The sequence below is a fragment of the Homo sapiens genome, chromosome 1 (genome assembly GCF_000001405.40).
Source record: "Homo sapiens chromosome 1, GRCh38.p14 Primary Assembly".
Classification (NCBI taxonomy): domain Eukaryota; kingdom Metazoa; phylum Chordata; class Mammalia; order Primates; family Hominidae; genus Homo; species Homo sapiens.
In genome coordinates this window covers 144,958,843-144,980,189 of record NC_000001.11, presented here as the reverse complement: position 1 = coordinate 144,980,189, position 21,347 = coordinate 144,958,843, and the positions used below count along the sequence as shown (strand labels likewise).

Genomic DNA, 21,347 nt, shown 5'->3' with positions numbered 1-21,347 from the left:
AAGCACAGGCTATTGTGTGGACTCTAAAACAGAGCAAGGTGAACCCAGGAAGGCAGGCACAGTTAAGAAAGGGTTGGCTTCTTACGTGTATTGACTTCCTCCCCTCCTTCTCCTCTCTCACTCCTTTTTATACATTGACTGGATTTGTCAGTCTTGTTCTTGCTCCTGTTTTCTCCGGTAATGGGTGGAAATGTGTGTCCTTTCTTACCACAGAGTCCTAGATACATGTGCATACAAATACACAGTGTATTAGGCCATTTTTTGTGATGCTGTAAATAAATACCTGAGGCTGGGTAATTTCTAAAGAAAAAAGGTTTGATTGGCTCATGGTTCTGCAGGCTGTACAGGAGGCATGGTGCTGGTGTCTGCTTCTGGTGAGGCCTCAGGAAGCTTACAATCATGGCAGAAGGCACCGGGGAGCCAGCATGTCACATGGTGAGAGTGGGAGTGAGAGTCGGGGGAGGTCCCAGACTTTTGAACAACCAGATCTCTCGTGAACTAAGTGAGCATGAACTCACTTATCACCACAGAGATGGTGCTAAACCATTCATGAAGGATCTACCCCCATGACGCAGTCACCTCCCACCAGGCCCCACCTCCAACATTTGGAATCACATTTCAACATGAGATTTGGGGGGGGACAGACATCCAAACCATATCACATAGGAGGAAAAACACACAGGAAGAGCACACAGGTGCACTTCCCTTAGTGCCTTCTGAAGGACGCAACTCAGGTTTTTATGATATACTGATTAACGGGTTATTGTTATGGGCTTTGTCTTGGATTTTAACCTGATACTTTCTCAGTGTTGGTTTTGCTAGATGTTCATTACTTCATTAAACAGAGGTGCCGGGTGCGGTGGCTCACGCCTGTAATCCCAGCACTTTGGGAGGCCGAGGCGGGCGGATCACGAGGTCAGGAGATCGAGACCATCCTGGCTAATACGGCGAAACCCCATCTCTACTAAAAATACAAAAAATTATCCGGGTGTGGTGGCGGGTGCCTGTAGTCCCACCTACTCAGGAGGCTGAGGCAGGAGAATGGTGTGAACCCAGGAGGCGGAGCTTTCAGTGAGTCGAGATCGCGCCACTGCACTCCAGCCTGGGTGACAGAGCGAGACTCCGTCTCAAAAAAAAACAACAACAAAAAACAGAGGTGAGTGATGAGAATATGGCTTATGAAGACTTCAGTGCTGCCTCTTCTTGATCCCCATCCCCTAGTCCCCAAGCACACATACCAAGTTTCCAGCCAGATGATAAGTGCTTAGGAAACCTTCTACTTTACAGCATAGTTCAGGGAAGCCATAATAGAAAAAATATAATACATCTTTGGTAGGCTTCCTTGGCACCAAATTGACGAAGACTTTAGAAAGGTTCTTATCGTACATCAGATGAAAAAAAGCGATTTACCAGATCTGGGAATGTTTTTGAGCCACTCTAGCAAAAAACAACTGGCTTGAAAATCTTTGATAAAATCGCTTATTCTTTTGGAAGCTAAGAACATCTTTGTACAATTTTTTGTTGTTGTTGTTTTTTGTTTTTTGAGATGGAGTCTCTCACTCTGTTGCCCAGGCTGGGGTGCAATGATGCCATTTCGGCTCACTGCAACCTCTGCCTCCCAGGTTCAAGAGATTCTCGTGCCTCAGCCTCCCAAGTACCTGGGATTACAGGTGCGCACCACCATGCCTGGCTACTTTTTATATTTTTAGTAGAGATGGGGTTTTTCCACGTTGGCCAGGCTGGTCTCGAACTCCTGACCTCAGGTGATCTGCCCACCTCGACCTCCCAAACTGCTGGGATTACAGGCGTGAGCCACTGCGCCCGGCCCATCTTTGTACTATTATTCCTTCTGGAAAAGAAGTCCACTTCTGGCTGTTTTGTCCATTTGTACGAATTTGGTGAACACCAATCCTGGTATGTGAGGTTCACTTAATCTTTCAGCAAACATTTATTGAACATTTATTCTGTGCCAAGAGTTGTACAAGGAATTAAATATACATAGAAGAATAAGCTACCATTCTAGCCCATGGGAGTTATTACTTAATGTGAAATATTTTAAGTTTGTTTATATACATTTGTATGTGCTCTGATAAGGCGTAGACTTCCAGGTTGAGGAGACAGAATTGTTGGGTTATGAGTCACCCTGTTAGTCACCTTTATTATATGTGAATCAGTAATAAACACTTGACTTCATTCTCATCGCTAATGACCAATAGGTTCTCTGCAGGTTTGGGGTCACAAAGAGGTGTAGGATCCTGTTCTTTCCCTCAGGAAGCTCATGGTGTCATGTGGAAGACAGAGAGTTTATGGGAAAAAGATAACACAAAATAATATACACTTACTGCCAAAGGAGAGATGGGAGAAATGATTTCATTTTTCTTCAGAATGCAATCTGTAAACAGTTTTAAAATTTTGCCATAATGTTAGACTTACAGAAAAATTGCAGGAATAGCACAAAGAATTTTTGTATACTACCATTTTATCCAGATTGCCCCAAAATGTTAACATATTACTACATTTGCTTTATACTTCACCCTTTTCATACTCAATTCTCACACACATATTTTGTTTTTCTGAAACACTTGAGAGTAAATTGCAGACATGATGACCTTTTATCCATACATACTTTAGGGTGTATTTACTAAAAATAAGGATGTTCTTTTGCATAATCGTAGTGCAGTCATCGAAATCAGGACATACAGATTGATACAATACTATTATCTAATCAATAGACATTCAGATTTTACCAGTTGTTCTAAAAATGGCCTTTTTTGGCAAACGAAAGTCCAAGATTATGCAATTCATTCAATTGTCTTATCTCTTTACTTTCCTTTAATGTGGGATGATTTCCAAGTCTTTATATTTCAAGACATTGACGTTGGCCCCGTTATTTTGTAGAATATCCCTTAATTTGATATTTCTGGCAATTTCTGATAATTTCCTTATTATTAGATTCAAGTCACACACTTTTGGCAGGAATACCATAAAATGTAATGTCACGTTCTTCTCAGTGCATCATATCAGGAAGCACTTGCTGATGATTTGTGCCATAACTGATGATGTTAAATTTGATCATTTGGTTACAGTTGTGTCTGCTAGGTTTCTCCACCATGAAGTTGTTCTATAAGCTTTGTAATTAATGTATATATTGTGGAGAGATACTTTGAGACCATGTAAATATCAGCTTACCCTTCAACTCTTATACTCACTAGTTTTAGCATCCATTATAATTTCTTGCTTGAATCACTTTCTATTATGATGGTTACCAAATAGTCATTTTTCCAGTTTTCATCATTCCTTCTACATTTATCAGTTGCAATTCTACTGTAAGGAAGAGCTTTTCCATCACCCCCACTTTTTGGTCTGGTTGTTGGTTTATATCAGTGTGGACTTGTGGATTATTATTTTATTCAACAGGTTATAATCCTTTACCATCTTTATTTTAATGTTCATATTGTTCTATATTTGGCCAATGGAGTCCCTTCAAGCTGGCTTCTGTGTCTTATTGATATGTCCCCATCGTTCTTTGAGCACTTCCTTACTTGGTGGCACAACAAGATGTTCCAGGCTTAACTTGTACTTTCCTTGCCTTTACTGTGGAGTTGACCATTTTTTCAGAGAGCCTCGGTTGCTTTTAGTGGGAAATGGTATTTAGAAGCCATGGATGCTAAATATGCTCTTTGTAACTGAAGTACCATTATTTATAGTCCCTTTCAGCAGACAGAGGTAGTAGATATATGTATGTACACATAGACACATACACACACACACCCATGTACTTCTATAAATAGCTATTTCTTTATCTGTCTGTATATTTATATATATTAAAGCCTATGAGATCATATCAGTATCTTTCATTCCAATCCAATACCACATGTTTTATTTAATTTTCTCCCCTTTCCTGTTCTCTGAACAGTGAGAAACCTGGTTCCTATTATCCATAACACACATTTTCACTTAATTGCTCAGTCCTAGAGTGTACAGAAAGTTGTTTCAGAATTACTAACCCAGGCTGGGCGCGATGGCTCACACCTGTAATCCCAGTACTTTGGGAGGCCGAGGCGGGCCGATCATGAGGTCAGGAGATCAAGACCATCCTGGCTAACACGGTGAAACCCTGTCTCTTCTAAAAAATACAAAAAAAAAAAATTAGCCGGGCATGGTGGCAGGCGCCTGTGGTCCCAGCTACTGGGGAGGCTGAGGCAGGAGAATGGGGTGAACCTGGGAGGTGGAGCTTGCAGTGAGCCGAGATCGTGCCACTGCACTCCAGCCTGGGTGACAGACCGAGACTCCATATCAAAAAAAAAAAAAAAAAAAAAAAGAATTACTAACCCATGCCTCTGAAAAAGAAGACTACTGACTAGATTTTAATACTGGTTTAGAGTTCTTTTTGTTATTAGCCTTGAGGGCCAAGACACAATGTTCAAAAGTTAGCTGACTAGTTCTTTCTTTCCTATCTTAGTCTGTTTTATGTCGCCATAACAGAATACCTGAGTCCAGGTAATTTATAAAGAAAAGAAGCTTATTTGGCTCACGACTGTGGTGGCTTGAGAGTATAAGAATGTGGCATCAGCATCTGCTCAGCTCTTGGTGGGGGCCATGTGCTGCCTGACAACATGGCGGAGAAGCTGAAAGGCTAGGGAATGAGTGAAAAGAAAGCAAACACTAGGAAGAAGCTTGCTTTACAACAACTCACTCTCTCAGGAACTAATCCAGTCCCACAAGAGTGAGAACTCATTTCCATGAGAATATTAATCTTATTCATGAAGGATTCTTCCCATGACCCAGACAACCCCCAGTGGTCCAGCCTCTCAATACCACTTGCAATTGCAATCAAATTTCAACATGAGTTTTGGAGGGAACAAACCAGATTCAAACCATAGCATCCCTCAATCTCCAGACCTTCAATGTAGTTATATTATTTGTTTGAAATATAATTTGGTTTATTTATTTGTTTGTATTTAATGTTTTCCTCTCCGGAATGGGGTCTTGACATTTCTCACTGCCAAACCTTTTCTCTTGACTAAAAAAGATGGCGCAGATTCAGGAGAAGTGAGAGACCCATGTATCCATAGATTAAGTCAGGGCTTTAGCAGAAGTCAGTGATGGGGACATAGGCCAGACATGCACTGAGAACAAACCAACCATTTTCCCCTACTTCTGGACCAGCCCTGTCTCTAAGCAAGCCATCTTATGGATTGAGACCCTTGCCAGTTTCTCCTAAGCCTGCTCCTAGGTTCTCCTTGCCATTCTCCCTGATCACCTCTTTTGCATTTAGTGAACCAAGAATCCAGCATCAGCATCAGCATCAGCATCAGCATCAGCATCTGCTCAGCTGTAGGCCATGATTGTCTGTACTGTTTACCAGCAGCTCATGTAATATGCTTGATGTAAGACCTTAGGATAATGTTGATCTGGCCTTTCAGACATGAAGCCCCGGGGCACTGCACATTGACACCCAAACTTGCAAACTTTTACGTCCTTTTGCGAGACTGTTTGCTAGTGCCCTGTTCTGAAATCCTTGAAATTTCTCCTCCTGGACTTTCTTCAGTTACATGCTTTGGCCTCTCTAATAGCTCTTTTGCATCAATTCTGATGACCTGGCCATTTTCTCCTGTCTGTCTGGGAATGGCTTCCAGAATCCCCTTTCTCTGCCCCATTTAACCCTCTTCCTCCATCTCCCACACACTCATTTTATTTCTCTTTCCTCCAGACACATATAACCTGGTCAGTGCTGCTGATTCCAGCTGTTCTGAATCTTGTGTACAGCTTAAGTTCAAAAACAGATGGGCCCAAAGTATCCTAGATGCTGTGCCAATTTCCACTGCATGAAAACAAATTACTGAAAAGCATCAGGAAATTTTAGAATAGTTTTGGGGTTTGATTCTCTATCTTCTCAATGGTCCTTCCTCCCCAACTCTTCCATTTCTCTTCACCGTCCCTGTCCCCCCATTATACCTTGCCACTTTCCATCTCTTCTTCATATTCCTCACTTAGCAAAGGCTGGTTTTTAAAACCTTTATTCTCATTTTTACTCTTTCTATGTACTGATAGGTTTAACCATCAGGATGGGACTGTGTTGATAATCAAGCTATGGCTGTTGGTTGTTTTTCTAGACGTTTATACCCTTTTAAAATCTTCCATCTAGGACTAGGGACCTTATGTCCTATGTCCTTTTCATATAGAGAAGGTAAGGCTGGGGCCTCTGTGTCTGTGGGTACATTTGTAGGTCAAATAATTCACCAGCTTGCAAATAAAGTAGATATTCTTCTATTGACTTTATCACTGGGGGGTGCACAATTGTGCCAGTGCCATTGTCTGCCCTTGTCGGGAGTGAGTAGACACTCCCTGTAGACAGGGAGTGTGTTCCTTGGAAAGCAGTGACATTGGACCCACACCATTGCTTTCAGAATCCTCATTCTGGGAATTTGCCAACTGCTTTCTCCCAGTGTTCTGTAGGACATTGTTTAGCTTTGGCATTCCTAGTCACCCTAAAAATAAGAGGAAAACAATCATCGTAGTTGGACCACTTATCTTACAGGTATATAAGGAAGACACTGGGGTCATTTACAGAGCATGGGGAGAAAGCTGTTGGCATGGTACAGTGGTTATTGGGTGCCCACTGTGAACAGACATTGTAGGAACTGTCTTCAAGAGAAGCCCTTGAGGGATAGGCTTCTAGAAGTTCAGGTACATGCTGGATTTATCTATGCAAATTATAATGTTTCCCCGCTTCCCTCCCTCCCTCCCTCCCTCCTTCTCTTCTTTAGAAGAGAATCCTCAGATTCTCAAAAAGTATCAAGCAGAGTCCTATGGATGGTAACTGAAAGAAAAAAAGAAAAAAACGATTCTCAAAGGGATCTGGAATACGTAATTATCTCCCATAATTTAAGACCATTACTCTGGAGCAGTGACTTTAAAACATTTTGATCATGAATCTCCATATTTTATACTACAAGCTGGAATATACTTATATACACATAAATAGCTGAGAACAATACTTTCACAGAACAATACTTATGTTTGCTTTGTGTGATGTACTCTGAGATTTTCTACTTTGTTCTGTTATTCTTTTTTTTGTTGAGATGGGGTCTCACTCTTTCACCCGGGCTGGAGTGTAATGGCGCCATCTTGGCTCACTGCAACCTCTGCCTCCTGAGCTCAAGTGATCCTCCCACCTCAGCCTCCCGAGTAGCTAGGACCACAGGTGCACACCACCATGCCCAGCTAGTTTTTTGTATTTTTGGTAGAGACAAGGTTTTACCGTGTTGCCCAAGCTGGTCTCAAACTCCTGACCTCAAGTGATCTGCCTGCCTCAGCCTCCCAAAGTGCTGGGAATGCAGGTGTGAGGCACTGCATCCAGGCTACTTTTTTCTGTTATTCTCTTCTACTGTTGCCTACTTAATTTTTTGAGAAATGCTAGTTGGTGACCTATACGTTGATTTTTTTTAAACCTCACTAATGGGTTGAATCCCACAGTTTGTAAAACATTGCTTTAAGAGCATTGTTTTTTAAATTTTTTGGTGTGCATAAAATTACCTGACATGCTGATTTGAAAGGCAGATTCCTGGGCATCAGTCCACGAGTTGTAATCTCTGGCAGACGAGCATAAGAATCCACATTTTAAACAAGCATTCCAGGTGATTCTGATGCAAGGTGATTTGGGGTCTTGAAGCCTCACACTTACAGAAACTGCTCTCTTTTGCATTTATGAACCTGGCTGTTGAAGGCTTCAGATCACATGCTTGGGGATGGTAGATACTAGTGGGGATCATCTGACTCCAGACTGGGAATCTTCTCGTTACAGGATGACCCCAATCACTTAGGTTTACTTCTGGATCTTGATAATTCCTTGATAGTCCTCTTTTACTGATGTCTCTTATGGCCCTTAAGAAGGCAGAGAAGGGGTTAACTGAGGCCACAGAATAGAGAGAGTGAAGGAACTGAAGGGTCATTTTACAGAGTGACTGGGGTGTGGCCCAGTCCTCCAGTAGGTGCCCAGAGCCAGTCCAAAATTAGAATGGGGTGGGATTCAAAACTGCTTTTCCTATTCACTTGCCTTTCATGTGTAACCACATGCAGTGTGTCAACATGCTTTCAGGCGCCGTTAGGCAGCAGCAGTTTTGCTCCCTCTGGGTTCATGGACCCTTGGTATTCCTGTTATGTGTTGTCTTAGAATAGCTCTGCGCTCTGGGGCTCTGAGCATTGTCCATTAACTCTTTCAGCACCAGCCCTTTGAGATGCTAAGGGCTTTTGAATGAAATGTAATAACCACCACAATGAAATAAGAAAACGGTTACTAGTCAGGAGACCTGGATTCTTGCCCTGCTCCACCACTGTCTGTGTGATCTCAGGCTCCCTGAGCCTCAGTTTCCTCACTCAGACAATGACAGGCTTGGTCTAGACTCTAGACCATCTTGAAAGTCCCTTCTAGCTCTGAAATTCCATGATTCTCTTTTTGTACACTCTGGCCTTTTCTCTTTGCACATGATTCTTTCGTTTAAAGTCTCAGCTACATTAGGCACAGAAGATTCACTGAGTTTGGGAATTTCCAGAGAATCAGATGATAAATTAATAGCAATAAAATGTATTCCTGGCCAGGTGAGGTGGCTCATAATTGTGAGCCTGGCACTTTGGGAGGCTGAGGCGGGAGGATTGCTTGAGCCCAGGAGTTTGAGGCTACAGTGAACCATGGTCATGCCCGTGTACTCCAACCTGGGCAACAGAGCAAGACCCCATCTCTGCAAAAAAAAAGTATGGGCCGGGTGCGGTGGTTCACACCTGTAATCCCAGCACTTTGGGAGGCCAATGTGGACAGATCACCTGAGGTCAGGAGTTGGAGACCAGCCTGACCAACATGGAGAAACCCTGTCTCTACTAAAAAACACAAAATTAGCCGAGCGTGGTGGCACATGCCTGTAATCCCAGCTACTCAGGAGGCTGAGGCAGGAGAATCGCTTGAACCCAGGAGGCGGAGGTTGCGGTGAGCCGAGATCGCACCATTGCACTCTAGCCTGGACAACAAGAGTGAAACTCCGTCTCAAAAAAAAAAAAAAAAGGAAGTGTTCCTATTTAGTATACTAATGAAGTAGGGAATTTATGAAACAAGTTTATTATAAAAGGAATTTTGAGATGTATTTGTCTTTTCAGACATGATTCTAGTCACTTTGTTTCGTGGGTATGAATTCATTGTGTGGGCTGTTGAGTAATGATAGTTGTCATAATTATAAGAAAAGATGTTGATACTGATATATAGTTGTAGAACACTTTCATGTTTATAAAGTTTGTTTAAGGGCATCACCTTGTTTGATTGGATCTTCACAAAAGTCATGTGTGTTAGGCAGGGCAGGTCTGCTGTCCCTGCTTATCCCATTTATTTATTTATTTATTTTTTATTTATTTATTTTTTTAAAAGATAAACAGTTATTCATTTTTGTTTAAGACATCAGGAGTACTAATAAAGAACCAACTGGTAAACTGCTGATAATTCCATATAATATATCTAGCACTACAACTACACTGAATCATGCTTTTTTTTTTTTTTAATACTTTAAGTTTTAGGGTACATGTGCACATTGTGCAGGTTAGTTACATATGTATACATGTGCCATGCTGGTGCGCTGCACCCACTAACTCGTCATCTAGCATTAGGTATATCTCCCAATGCTATCCCTCCCCCCTCCCCCCACCCCACCACAGTCCCCAGAGTGTGATATTCCCCTTCCTGTGTCCATGTGATCTCATTGTTCAGTTCCCACCTATGAGTGAGAATATGCGGTGTTTGGTTTTTTGTTCTTGCGATAGTTTACTGAGAATGATGGTTTCCAATTTCATCCATGTCCCTACAAAGGACATGAACTCATCATTTTTTATGGCTGCATAGTATTCCATGGTGTATATGTGCCACATTTTCTTAATCCAGTCTATCATTGTTGGACATTTGGGTTGGTTCCAAGTCTTTGCTATTGTGAATAATGCCGCAATAAACATACGTGTGCATGTGTCTTTATAGCAGCAGGATTTATAGTCATTTGGGTATATACCCAGTAATGGGATGGCTGGGTCAAATGGTATTTCTAGTTCTAGATCCCTGAGGAATCGCCACACTGACTTCCACAATGGTTGAACTAGTTTACAGTCCCACCAACAGTGTAAAAGTGTTTGTATTTCTCCACATCCTCTCCAGCACCTGTTGTTTCCTGACTTTTTAATGATTGCCATTCTAACTGGTGTGAGATGATATCTCAATAGTGGTTTTGATTTGCATTTCTCTGATGGCCAGTGATGATGAGCATTTTTTCATGTGTTTTTTGGCTGCATAAATGTCTTCTTTTGAGAAGTGTCTGTTCATGTCCTTCACCCACTTTTTGATGGGGTTGTTTGTTTTTTTTCTTGTAAATTTGTTTGAGTTCATTGTAGATTCTGGATATTAGCCCTTTGTCAGATGAGTAGGTTGCAAAAATTTTCTCCCATGTTGTAGTTTGCCTGTTCACTCTGATGGTAGTTTCTTTTGCTGTGCAGAAGCTCTTTAGTTTTATGAGATCCCATTTGTCAATTTTGGCTTTTGTTGCCATTGCTTTTGGTGTTTTGGACATGAAGTCCTTGCCCACGCCTATGTCCTGAATGGTAATGCCTAGGTTTTCTTCTAGGGTTTTTATGGTTTTAGGTCTAACGTTTAAATCTTTAATCCATCTTGAATTGATTTTTGTATAAGGTGTAAGGAAGGGATCCAGTTTCAGCTTTCTACATATGGCTAGCCAGTTTTCCCAGCACCATTTATTAAATAGGGAATCCTTTCCCCATTGCTTGTTTTTCTCAGGTTTGTCAAAGATCAGATAGTTGTAGGTATGTGGCATTATTTCTGAGGGCTCTGTTCTGTTCCATTGATCTATATCTCTGTTTTGGTACCAGTACCATGCTGTTTTGGTTACTGTAGCCTTGTAGTATAGTTTGAAGTCAGGTAGTGTGATGCCTCCAGCTTTGTTCTTTTGCCTTAGGATTGACTTGGCGATGCGGGCTCTTTTTTGGTTCCATATGAACTTTAAAGTAGTTTTTTCCAATTCTGTGAAGAAAGTCATTGGTAGCTTGATGGGGATGGCATTGAATCTGTAAATTACCTTGGGCAGTATGGCCATTTTCACGATATTGATTCTTCCTACCCATGAGCATGGAATGTTCTTCCATTTGTTTGTATCCTCTTTTATTTCCTTGAGCAGTGGTTTGTAGTTCTCCTTGAAGAGGTCCTTCACATCCCTTGTAAGTTGGATTCCTAGGTATTTTATTCTCTTTGAAGCAATTGTGAATGGGAGTTCACTCATGATTTGGCTCTCTGTTTGTCTGTTGTTGGTGTATAAGAATGCTTGTGATTTTTGTACATTGATTTTATATCCTGAGACTTTGCTGAAGTTGCTTATCAGCTTAAGGAGATTTTGGGCTGAGACGATGGGGTTTTCTAGATAAACAATCATGTCATCTGCAAACAGGGACAATTTGACTTCCTCTTTTCCTAATTGAATACCCTTTATTTCCTTCTCCTGCCTGATTGCTCTGGCCAGAACTTCCAACACTATGTTGAATAGGAGTGGTGAGAGAGGGCATCCCTGTCTTGTGCCAGTTTTCAAAGGGAATGCTTCCAGTTTTTGCCCATTCAGTATGATATTGGCTGTGGGTTTGTCATAGATAGCTCTTATTATTTTGAGATACGTCCCATCAATACCTAATTTATTGAGAGTTTTTAGCATGAAGGGTTGTTGAATTTTGTCAAAGGCTTTTTCTGCATCTATTGAGATAATCATGTGGTTTTTGTCTTTGGCTCTGTTTATATGCTGGATTACATTTATTGATTTGCGTATATTGAACCAGCCTTGCATCCCAGGGATGAAGCCCACTTGATCATGGTGGATAAGCTTTTTGATGTGCTGCTGGATTCGGTTTGCCAGTATTTTATTGAGGATTTTTGCATCAATGTTCATCAAGGATATTGGTCTAAAATTCTCTTTTTTGGTTGTGTCTCTGCCCGGCTTTGGTATCAGAATGATGCTGGCCTCATAAAATGAGTTAGGGAGGATTCCCTCTTTTTCTATTGATTGGAATAGTTTCAGAAGGAATGGTACCAGTTCCTCCTTGTACCTCTGGTAGAATTCGGCTGTGAATCCATCTGGTCCTGGACTCTTTTTGGTTGGTAAACTATTGATTATTGCCACAATTTCAGCTCCTGTTATTGGTCTATTCAGAGATTCAACTTCTTCCTGGTTTAGTCTTGGGAGAGTGTATGTGTCGAGGAATGTATCCATTTCTTCTAGATTTTCTAGTTTATTTGTGTAGAGGTGTTTGTAGTATTCTCTGATGGTAGTTTGTATTTCTGTGGGATTGGTGGTGATATCCCCTTTATCATTTTTTATTGTGTCTATTTGATTCTTCTCTCTTTTTTTCTTTATTAGTCTTGCTAGCGGTCTATCAATTTTGTTGATCCTTTCAAAAAACCAGCTCCTGGATTCATTGATTTTTTGAAGGGTTTTTTGTGTCTCTATTTCCTTCAGTTCTGCTCTGATTTTAGTTATTTCTTGCCTTCTGCTAGCTTTTGAATGTGTTTGCTCTTGCTTTTCTAGTTCTTTTAATTTTGATGTTAGGGTGTCAATTTTGGATCTTTCCTGCTTTCTCTTGTGGGGATTTAGTGCTATAAATTTCCCTCTACACACTGCTTTGAATGCGTCCCAGAGATTCTGGTATGTTGTGTCTTTGTTCTCGTTGGTTTCAAAGAACATCTTTATTTCTGCCTTCATTTCGTTATGTACCCAGTAGTCATTCAGGAGCAGGTTGTTCAGTTTCCATGTAGTTGAGCGGCTTTGAGTGAGATTCTTAATCCTGAGTTCTAGTTTGATTGCACTGTGGTCTGAGAGATAGTTTGTTATAATTTCTGTTCTTTTACATTTGCTGAGGAGAGCTTTACTTCCAACTACGTGGTCAATTTTGGAATAGGTGTGGTGTGGTGCTGAAAAAAATGTATATTCTGTTGATTTGGGGTGGAGAGTTCTGTAGATGTCTATTAGGTCCGCTTGGTGCAGAGCTGAGTTCAATTCCTGGGTATCCTTGTTGACTTTCTGTCTCGTTGATCTGTCTAATGTTGACAGTGGGGTGTTAAAGTCTCCCATTATTAATGTGTGGGAGTCTAAGTCTCTTTGTAGGTCACTCAGGACTTGCTTTATGAATCTGGGTGCTCCTGTATTGGGTGCATATATATTTAGGATAGTTAGCTCCTCTTGTTGAATTGATCCCTTTACCATTATGTAATGGCCTTCTTTGTCTCTTTTGATCTTTGTGGGTTTAAAGTCTGTTTTATCAGAGACTAGGATTGCAACCCCTTCCTTTTTTTGTTTTCCATTTGCTTGGTAGATCTTCCTCCATCCTTTTATTTTCAGCCTATGTGTGTCTCTGCACGTGAGAAGGGTTTCTTGAATACAGCACACTGATGGGTCTTGACTCTTTATCCATTTGCCAGTCTGTGTCTTTTAATTGGAGCATTTAGCCCATTTACATTTAAGGTTAATATTGTTATGTGTGAATTTGATCCTGTCATTATGATGTTAGCTGGCTATTTTGTTCATTAGTTGATGCAGTTTCTTCCTAGCATCGATGGTGTTTACAATTGGGCATGTTTTTGCAGTGGCTGGTACTGGTTGTTCCTTTCCACGTTTAGCACTTCCTTCAGGAGCTCTTTTAGGGCAGGCCTGGTGGTGACAAAATCGGTCAGCATTTGCTTGTCTGTAAAGTATTTTATTTCTCCTTCACTTATGAAGCTTAGTTTGGCTGGATATGAAATTCTGGGTTGAAAATTCTTTTCTTTAAGAATGTTGAATATTGGCCCCCACTCTCTTCTGGCTTGTAGGGTTTCTGCCGAGAGATTTGCTGTTAGTCTGATGGGCTTCCCTTTGAGGGTAACCCGACCTTTCTCTCTGGCTGCCCTTAACATTTTTTCCTTCATTTCAACTTTGGTGAATCTGACAATTATGTGTCTTGGAGTTGCTCTTCTCGAGGAGTGTCTTTGTGGCGTTCTCTGTATTTCCTGAATCTGAACGTTGGCCTGCCTTGCTAGATTGGGGAAGTTCTCCTGGATAATATCCTGCAGAGTGTTTTCCAACTTGGTTCCATTCTCCGCCTCACTTTCAGGTACACCAATCAGACGTAGATTTGGTCTTTTCACATAGTCCCATATTTATTGGAGGCTTTGCTCATTTCTTTTTATTCTTTTTTTCTCTAAACTTCCCTTCTCGCTTCATTTCATTCATTTCATCTTCCATTGCTGATACCCTTTCTTCCAGTTGATCGCATCGGCTCCTGAGGCTTCTGCATTCTTCACGTAGTTCTCGAGCCTTGGTTTTCAGCTCCATCAGCTCCTTTAAGCACTTCTCTGTATTCGTTATTCTAGTTATACATTCTTCTAAATTTTTTTCAAAGTTTTCAACTTCTTTGCCTTTGGTTTGAATGTGCTCCCATAGCTCAGAGTAATTTGATCGTCTGAAGCCTTCTTCTCTCAGCTCGTCAAAATCATTCTCCATCCAGCTTTGTTCCGTTGCTGGTGAGGAACTGCGTTCCTTTGGAGGAGGAGAGGCGCTCTGCGTTTTAGAGTTTCCAGTTTTTCTGTTCTGTTTTTTCCCCATCTTTGAGGTTTTCTCTACTTTTGGTCTTTGATGATGGTGATGTACAGATGGGTTTTCGGTGTGGATGTCCTTTCTGTTTGTTAGTTTTCCTTCTAACAGACAGGACCCTCAGCTGCAGGTCTGTTGGAATACCCTGCCGTGTGAGGTGTCAGTGTGCCCCTGCTGGGGGGTGCCTCCCAGTTAGGCTGCTCGGGGGTCAGGGGTCAGGGACCCACTTGAGGAGGCAGTCTGCCCGTTCTCAGATCTCCAGCTGCGTGCTGGGAGAACCACTGCTCTCTTCAAAGCTCAGATGGAAATGCAGAAATCACCCGTCTTCTGTGTCGCTCACGCTGGAGCTGTAGACCGGAGCTGTTCCTATTCGGCCATCTTGGCTCCTCCCCCCTACACTGAATCATTTATTTTGAGCCAGGGCTTGAAGCAGACAATCCAAGCATCCTTCTAAACTATCCTCAGTCTTGTCAACAGCTGTTATCTTCAGCTTCTTCAAGGTATCACTGAGATTATCCATGTTGCTCCCCGAGGGTGAGGAACCGGCGGGGCGAGGCGAAGGTCTCTGGTGCAGGCGGCGCGGCTCTGTGTCCTCCCTCTACCTCCGTCTCTATTTATTTATTTTTTAAGAGACAGGTCCTATGTTACCCAGGCTGGTCATTTACAGGCACAATCATTGTGCACTATGGCCTCAAGCTCCTGGGCTCAAGCGATCTTCCCACCTCAGCTTCCCGAGTAGCCAGGAGTACAGGCACGTGTCACCATACCTGGCTTCCATTTACTTTTTAAAACAGGTGAAGAGATTTTGAGACCCAGAATGCATTTGTGACTTGCCCAAAGTTACCTGGCTAGTAAGTGGCAGAGCTAAGCCTAGACTCTGTGTCTTAAGCATAGTTCAAGGCGCTTTCCACAGAGTGTAGATGGAGTTTCACATTGTTCATCCAGATTCCTTAAGGACCTGAACTCGCTAATTTGATCTACTAACCTGGAAATTGACTAGGGCTTCTCTTATACCACTCAGCCCTTTAAAGTTTTGCCAGTAAAGTATCAACATGGTTAATAATATGCTGTAATTTAGAGTACACAAGCCAATGGACATACAAATTTGGTCATTCAGTAGCCACCCAGAGAGTGAGCACAGATACACACTGGAGCAGCTGATTTGGCAAGATTGGTGGAGGCTGAACATATTAACTAGTCATTAAATGAATCATGGTCTTTCTGTCCTCAACATTTACAGGATTGCTTTGGCTCTGGCATCTGTTGTTAGTCAATACTGATTAAGGACCCACCTATTCTTGGTGATAGGTGTTCATTAAACATTCTAAATATACCCTGTCCTCAAGAGAATTCCTTACTGGGCCTGGGGGTTGTTCCTCCTGCACCCCCACACAAAAAGAGACTTCCTTCTAATAAAGGCAAGATAAATATCCAAATAACACATGAGAACTGATAATGACACATGCAGCCAATCTGATGACTGTGTAGACTTCATTCCATTTAGATCTATAGTTTCACAGAATCAAGAATTTTATTTTTTTTCCCTCCTTTTCATTGTTGTTATGAGCCATGTAAGGGGACTCATTGTCCCAGGGACGGGTGTTTGGGAGGGGGAGATCTTTATGGATACCCTTTCTTCTCAGTGGCTTATTGCTATTTGGCATACTACAGTACAATTTGCTAGCCAGGAGGAGTTTCTGGCTGTAGATCAAACTTCTCCGCTCATGCCTGGTGCCAGAGAGATGCTTGCTCTTAAGGGGGTGGTTACTGCTTTGATAAGTGTGTGGATTTCTGAGTGACGTCATTCCACTTTGGCACAGACAGGTATTTATTTCTCTAGAATGAACTACCAGGGGTGAGCCAGACTGTCTGCCTCAGTCATTTCCCAAGGTTTCATTTATTTTAAAAATCTGCTAACACATCTGTGTGTATTTTTTTTTCTCTGTATGTTTGTCATGTGCTATAATTACTTATAGGGCTTCTGGTGACATCTTAATTAACTAGAGAAGAAAAAATCAAAGATATAATTGTAGAGTTGTTCACAGGTTTTTCTATGGACTTTGTGGATCCAACTGTCAACATGATATTGATGGTTACGAATTCTTTTTAAGCTGAGAAACGTATAAATTTTATGTTCCTCGGTCATTGATCACACCTTTGTTCTGTCTTTTACCCTTGCTATGGTGTTTTAGTTTAACTGAGTGAATGAGTCAGCTCAGGCCTTTGATGTGATCACAGCCTATTTTGGGGGGCTTTCAGGGAGCATATTTAATACCTAAGTGCATTTCTAGGCCCTTAGTTCTATGGATTATATTGGGGTGGCATTGTAGCATGTAGATTGTACCAAGAGGGTTTAACAGCCTCTTTATTCATTCCTCCCTATAGTTCTGGGAATGCTAGTGCTAACACATGGGATGTAAACAAAGGGAAGGTCCCAGGTCTACAGAAGCTATAGAGAGAGCTGGTGGGCAGGCAGATTTTCTAAGTCAGCCAAATCAGGGTTTTGCAGTGGGTTCATCCAAGCCAATGTACACACAAGCCACAAGACCAGGATAAGATGTGGGTTGTGGCTGATGCACAGTTTAGGAGCAGGAAAGCCATGTCTTGGATCCAGGAAGTCTGCAAACATGGGAGAAGCAGGTCAGAAAAAAGAATGTTGATCCTTTTATTCCTAGAATAGTGGCTAGCCCATAATAGGAGGCTCAATTAATATTTGTTAAATGAATGAATGAAATAAGAAGACATCAGGGACTCAGAGAAGGAGCCTGGACAATAAGATATCAGAAACTAGGCAAGAAATGTGGATGGCAGAGATTCAAATCTTGTGTAGACCCCCGTGTCTGGTCTTATGGGATCCATAGATCTATCTTAAGAGATATGAAGACCCTCCATTTGCCTCCTTTCTGCTGTGAGCACCGTGCCATAGGGGTGGTTGAAAGGAAGGCAGAATCTCTCACTTAACATAAATTGATGGAGACATTTCCAGTTAGTGTCTACGATAGCTTAAATTTGGGGGCCATTCCTAGTTCTCTGACCTAACCCACAAGAACCTTGGTCCTATAATCATTCAGGAAATCGTGATTAAGCACTTAATAGATGTCAGACATGGTGCTAGTCCAGTTCTCTACTTCAAAGCAGATTCCTAAGGTCCGGCTCTTGGGCATGCTGTTCTCTCAAGGGTGTGGTTCTGCTCCATGGAACTAATCCAGAGCCACAAGAATCTTATTTTCATACAGTCCTTCCCCCAAACCTGATTATAGGGGACAATTTAGGCTATTTTGAGAAGGTGGGTCTACCACTGCTTGAATCCTTTCTAATCATCTGTCTAGGCTACCGAAGACAATTTGTGGTACTCACTTGTCCCTGAAAATTTGAAAGTTCATTTCTCCATATGTAGACTATATTATTTTTGCCTTTGGCACTTTTCTCTGTCTCTGAACTCTCCTCCTCTGATCTCATTGCTGGCAACGCTGAAGCCAAAGCTGTGATAAGCCCAGAGAAGTGTGCCCGCCCCCTGCCTGCCCGTCTGTCTTTGAAAGATACCTTCAGGCTGCCGCTGTACTACTGGGTCACAAAACCAGCATCCACCATTACAGGCAGAATCGTTTTCAAGTCATTTCCTACCTTGGTGATTTTTACCCCCTCCTTCTTTTAACACCTTCCCCAGCAAATCCAATCCATCCTCTGGCTTATCTGGGTCAGCAAGGGTCTGATTTTATGCATGACACTGTCAGACCATAAATCCACTGCAGCTTTGCCTCTCTATCCAGCCTGCCTGCTTCTGTCAGCATCAGCAAAATGCATAATAGAGAAAATAAGCCAGAAAGGCTAATAACACTCATCTGAATAAAATAATCTCTTTGGCTGCCTCAGTTCATTTCATTTTAATCAAGGTGCCAGGAGGGAATTTAGGTTAAAAAATCCAACCTCCTTCTTGTCACAAGTTCCCTGTCCAACCATCACTTAAATGATTCCTTTTATCATGCATGTACCTTTTTTTATTCACCACATACTTGTATGTTCAATAACATATATTGAATGATGTATTTAACTCTTTAAGTTTTGTCTATCATCACAGATAGGTCTGTTTTTAAAAGCGAGAAATTATATTCTGCTTAGATGTATTGATAGTTGCCATCTCTCTATGCAGATTGGCAGGTTTGATAGGAATTCTGAGACAGGGGATGGGAGCTTAGTATAAGTTGCTGAAGCATCTAGGGTTTGGGCAATCTGTGCTCCCTTTGGATTCCTTTCTGTCAACCTCAGCACACAGTTCCCAGTGTGGAATGCAGGACTGATTGTTCTACCTTGTCCCTTAGGGAAAGGACAGTGGGAGATTAAAATCTGCTCTCCTGTTGGTATCTCTCTCACGTCTTCCCAGAGCCTTACGGCTGCTTTGTTAATTGCCTGTTGCTGCTGTCTTACTCAAACCATTATTTGCTGAAGGCTGTGCATTTTCAGCAGGCAGCAATCTTGGCCCTGGCCCAGAGCCGGGTGAGAAGCATGTTGGAAATTGATGAAAGCTGAGTCCTAGTTTGTTTGGAAATAAAAATAATAATATTTCTTCACATTTGTATAGTGCTGAACTATTGGCATAGTTCTTTTGCATCCATCATTTCATTTGATCCACACAACAGCCCTGAGAGGTGAGCAACTTAGAGACTATTGGCCCAAAAGGAAACACACCTCGTTATAGCAATGCAGAAGCTCAAGCTATATTCCAGCAATGCCAGCCTCATGCCATGCATTCCATCTGCACAGCCATGAACGTAGCAATTATTAATTAAATGGCACCTTAGGTCAGGAGAGCGTCTAGGATTTTACAGCCATACTTTGAAGATCTTTGAGGAGTGAGATGTATACCAATAGGGCACGTGTCCATTTTATAGATGAGATGATAAAAACCAAACAGAGGTGATATGGAAAAGAACCATAATAGAGAGGCCAACTTGGACCTTTATAGACTTGGCTCTTCACCATGGATATTTTAGAGAAATCCCTTTAAGCGCTTGTTGCTAAGTTTGTTGAACGTCCATAAATAGTCCAAGTTGAGGGAGAAAAGCTGGGCTAATGTCTTCGAAGCTAATGATTCAGCTATGCAGGTTTATCTCTTTCAGTGCATTTACAGTGATAATGTCTCCTGCAGATGTACAGGCAGCATGTGACTTTCCGGGTCTCCTTTCGACTCCAGAGTCATTCCCTCTCAGGTATAGTATGATGTTTTCTTGATCTTCCTCCTGAAAAACATTTTAAGTAAGAAAAATACTCCTAGGTATTTTGTCTGCTTTTTAGGGATTAGTGTTTGAGGAGGTTTGCAGCTGCTCAGCACATTCCTAAGGGATGCAGACCCTTTCCTTTAAAGGCCCAAGTATTATACAACCTAAGGCTCTGGGGGTGGGGAAAGTAAAGAGACTGTGCAAACAAATGATAGATGGAAAAGATATAAAGACAAATTTCAATCTCCTAACCAAACGAAGTTCCCTTGGCTTCAGCGGTCCCAAATAAAATGAGGCTGCAAAGCTTCTGGAGCAGGAAACCACTCTAGCAGAGCCTTAATATGCTCCCTATGAAATCACGTCTCGTTGCCGTGCTTATTTTCCAGCCTGAAGTGTGTTTCATCTTTGTTCGTGTTGGCTGGGAAAATTGTCTGTATATTTGTGATCCCCTCCTCCCACTTTCTCTCTACCTTACTTGCTCTACCACTACCCAAAAATAAATAAATGAATTAATTGAAACACCTCAGTTGAAAGGAAGAATATGTCTGAGAAAGCTTACAGACTCAAAGGACCAGAAATATTGTGTGAAAAGCTGCATTAATAGTAGGAGAGGCTGAGAACTCCTGGAAGAAACAGCCAACAGGATCTAGTGCTGGTTTTTTAAGCATAGACTCCTTTTTTAAAATAAAAATCTTGCATAGAGCCTCAATATATGAAACAGATCAAAGCAGTATTTTTATTGGTATAAATCTGCTTTTAAAGTACAAATTTATAGAGTACTTATTATACTGTCAGTCAATGAGAACAATGAGGCTGTTTTTATGAACTAAAAATATTGAGATCAGGATTATGAATCAGTTATAGTTTTATATTCATTTCAGCATCTGGTTTTGGTTTAGGTAGTCCAATATCAAGAAAATTCTGATTAGCATAGATAAGTTATTGTAATCTTGAGCTTTAAATTGATTTAGATGGAAAAAAGAAGATATTTTTGTTTTAAAGTTGAGTCACTATCATCACCTAGCAGCTATTCCCCTTCATAAATATTAATTGGATAAGCCCCAACATGTATAATAGGCATCGCAACAACTGATGATGAGATGGTATGATATTAAGCATGTTGATTTTCGCTACCCAACCACGGTCTCACATGAACCCAGCCTAGGCCCTTGAGCCTTCTATGGCATGTGATTGAACCTTGCTGCTGTGTGTCAAGTTATAGGCTCACCTGTACAGCTTTATTGGAGGAGGCACACACAGGCTTGAATGAAAAAATAAACCTATGCAAAGCTACATGTATTCTAATTAATAGCATATTGTTCAGAAGTTCCAAGGCATACAGTGATTCTTTCTTCCAGGGTTTACATAAAACAATGCTAGCAGCCTGCGAGACATTGCAGTGGTATCTAATGCAGGGAAACTGGGTCCTGGGTCTCTTGCTCATGTCAGTGAGGGTTGCTCATTTGAATGGATGTGTCACCGTTTT

The 21,347-nt window shown here is 41.5% G+C and overlaps 1 protein-coding gene across 11 annotated transcripts in view; it reads left to right on the top strand.

Annotated features, from left to right (window-relative positions):
- SRGAP2B (SLIT-ROBO Rho GTPase activating protein 2B) overlaps window positions 1-21,347 on the top strand; it is a 208,093-nt gene that overhangs the window by 115,191 nt on the left and 71,555 nt on the right. For 4 of the 11 annotated variants that reach the window (NM_001330684.2, NM_001368324.2, XM_047428007.1 and 1 more), the window contains one exon: window positions 19,792-19,852. The exons of 6 other annotated variants lie outside the window; for them this stretch is intronic. Coding sequence is in view for 1 of the 5 variants with exons in the window: in NM_001385226.1 (NP_001372155.1) it covers window positions 19,763-19,852 (90 nt within the window). In the remaining 4 variants the exon portion in view is untranslated. Of the gene's footprint in view, window positions 1-19,762; window positions 19,853-21,347 lie in introns of all 11 variants that reach the window. One more of the 11 variants, NM_001385226.1, reaches the window with a different exon arrangement.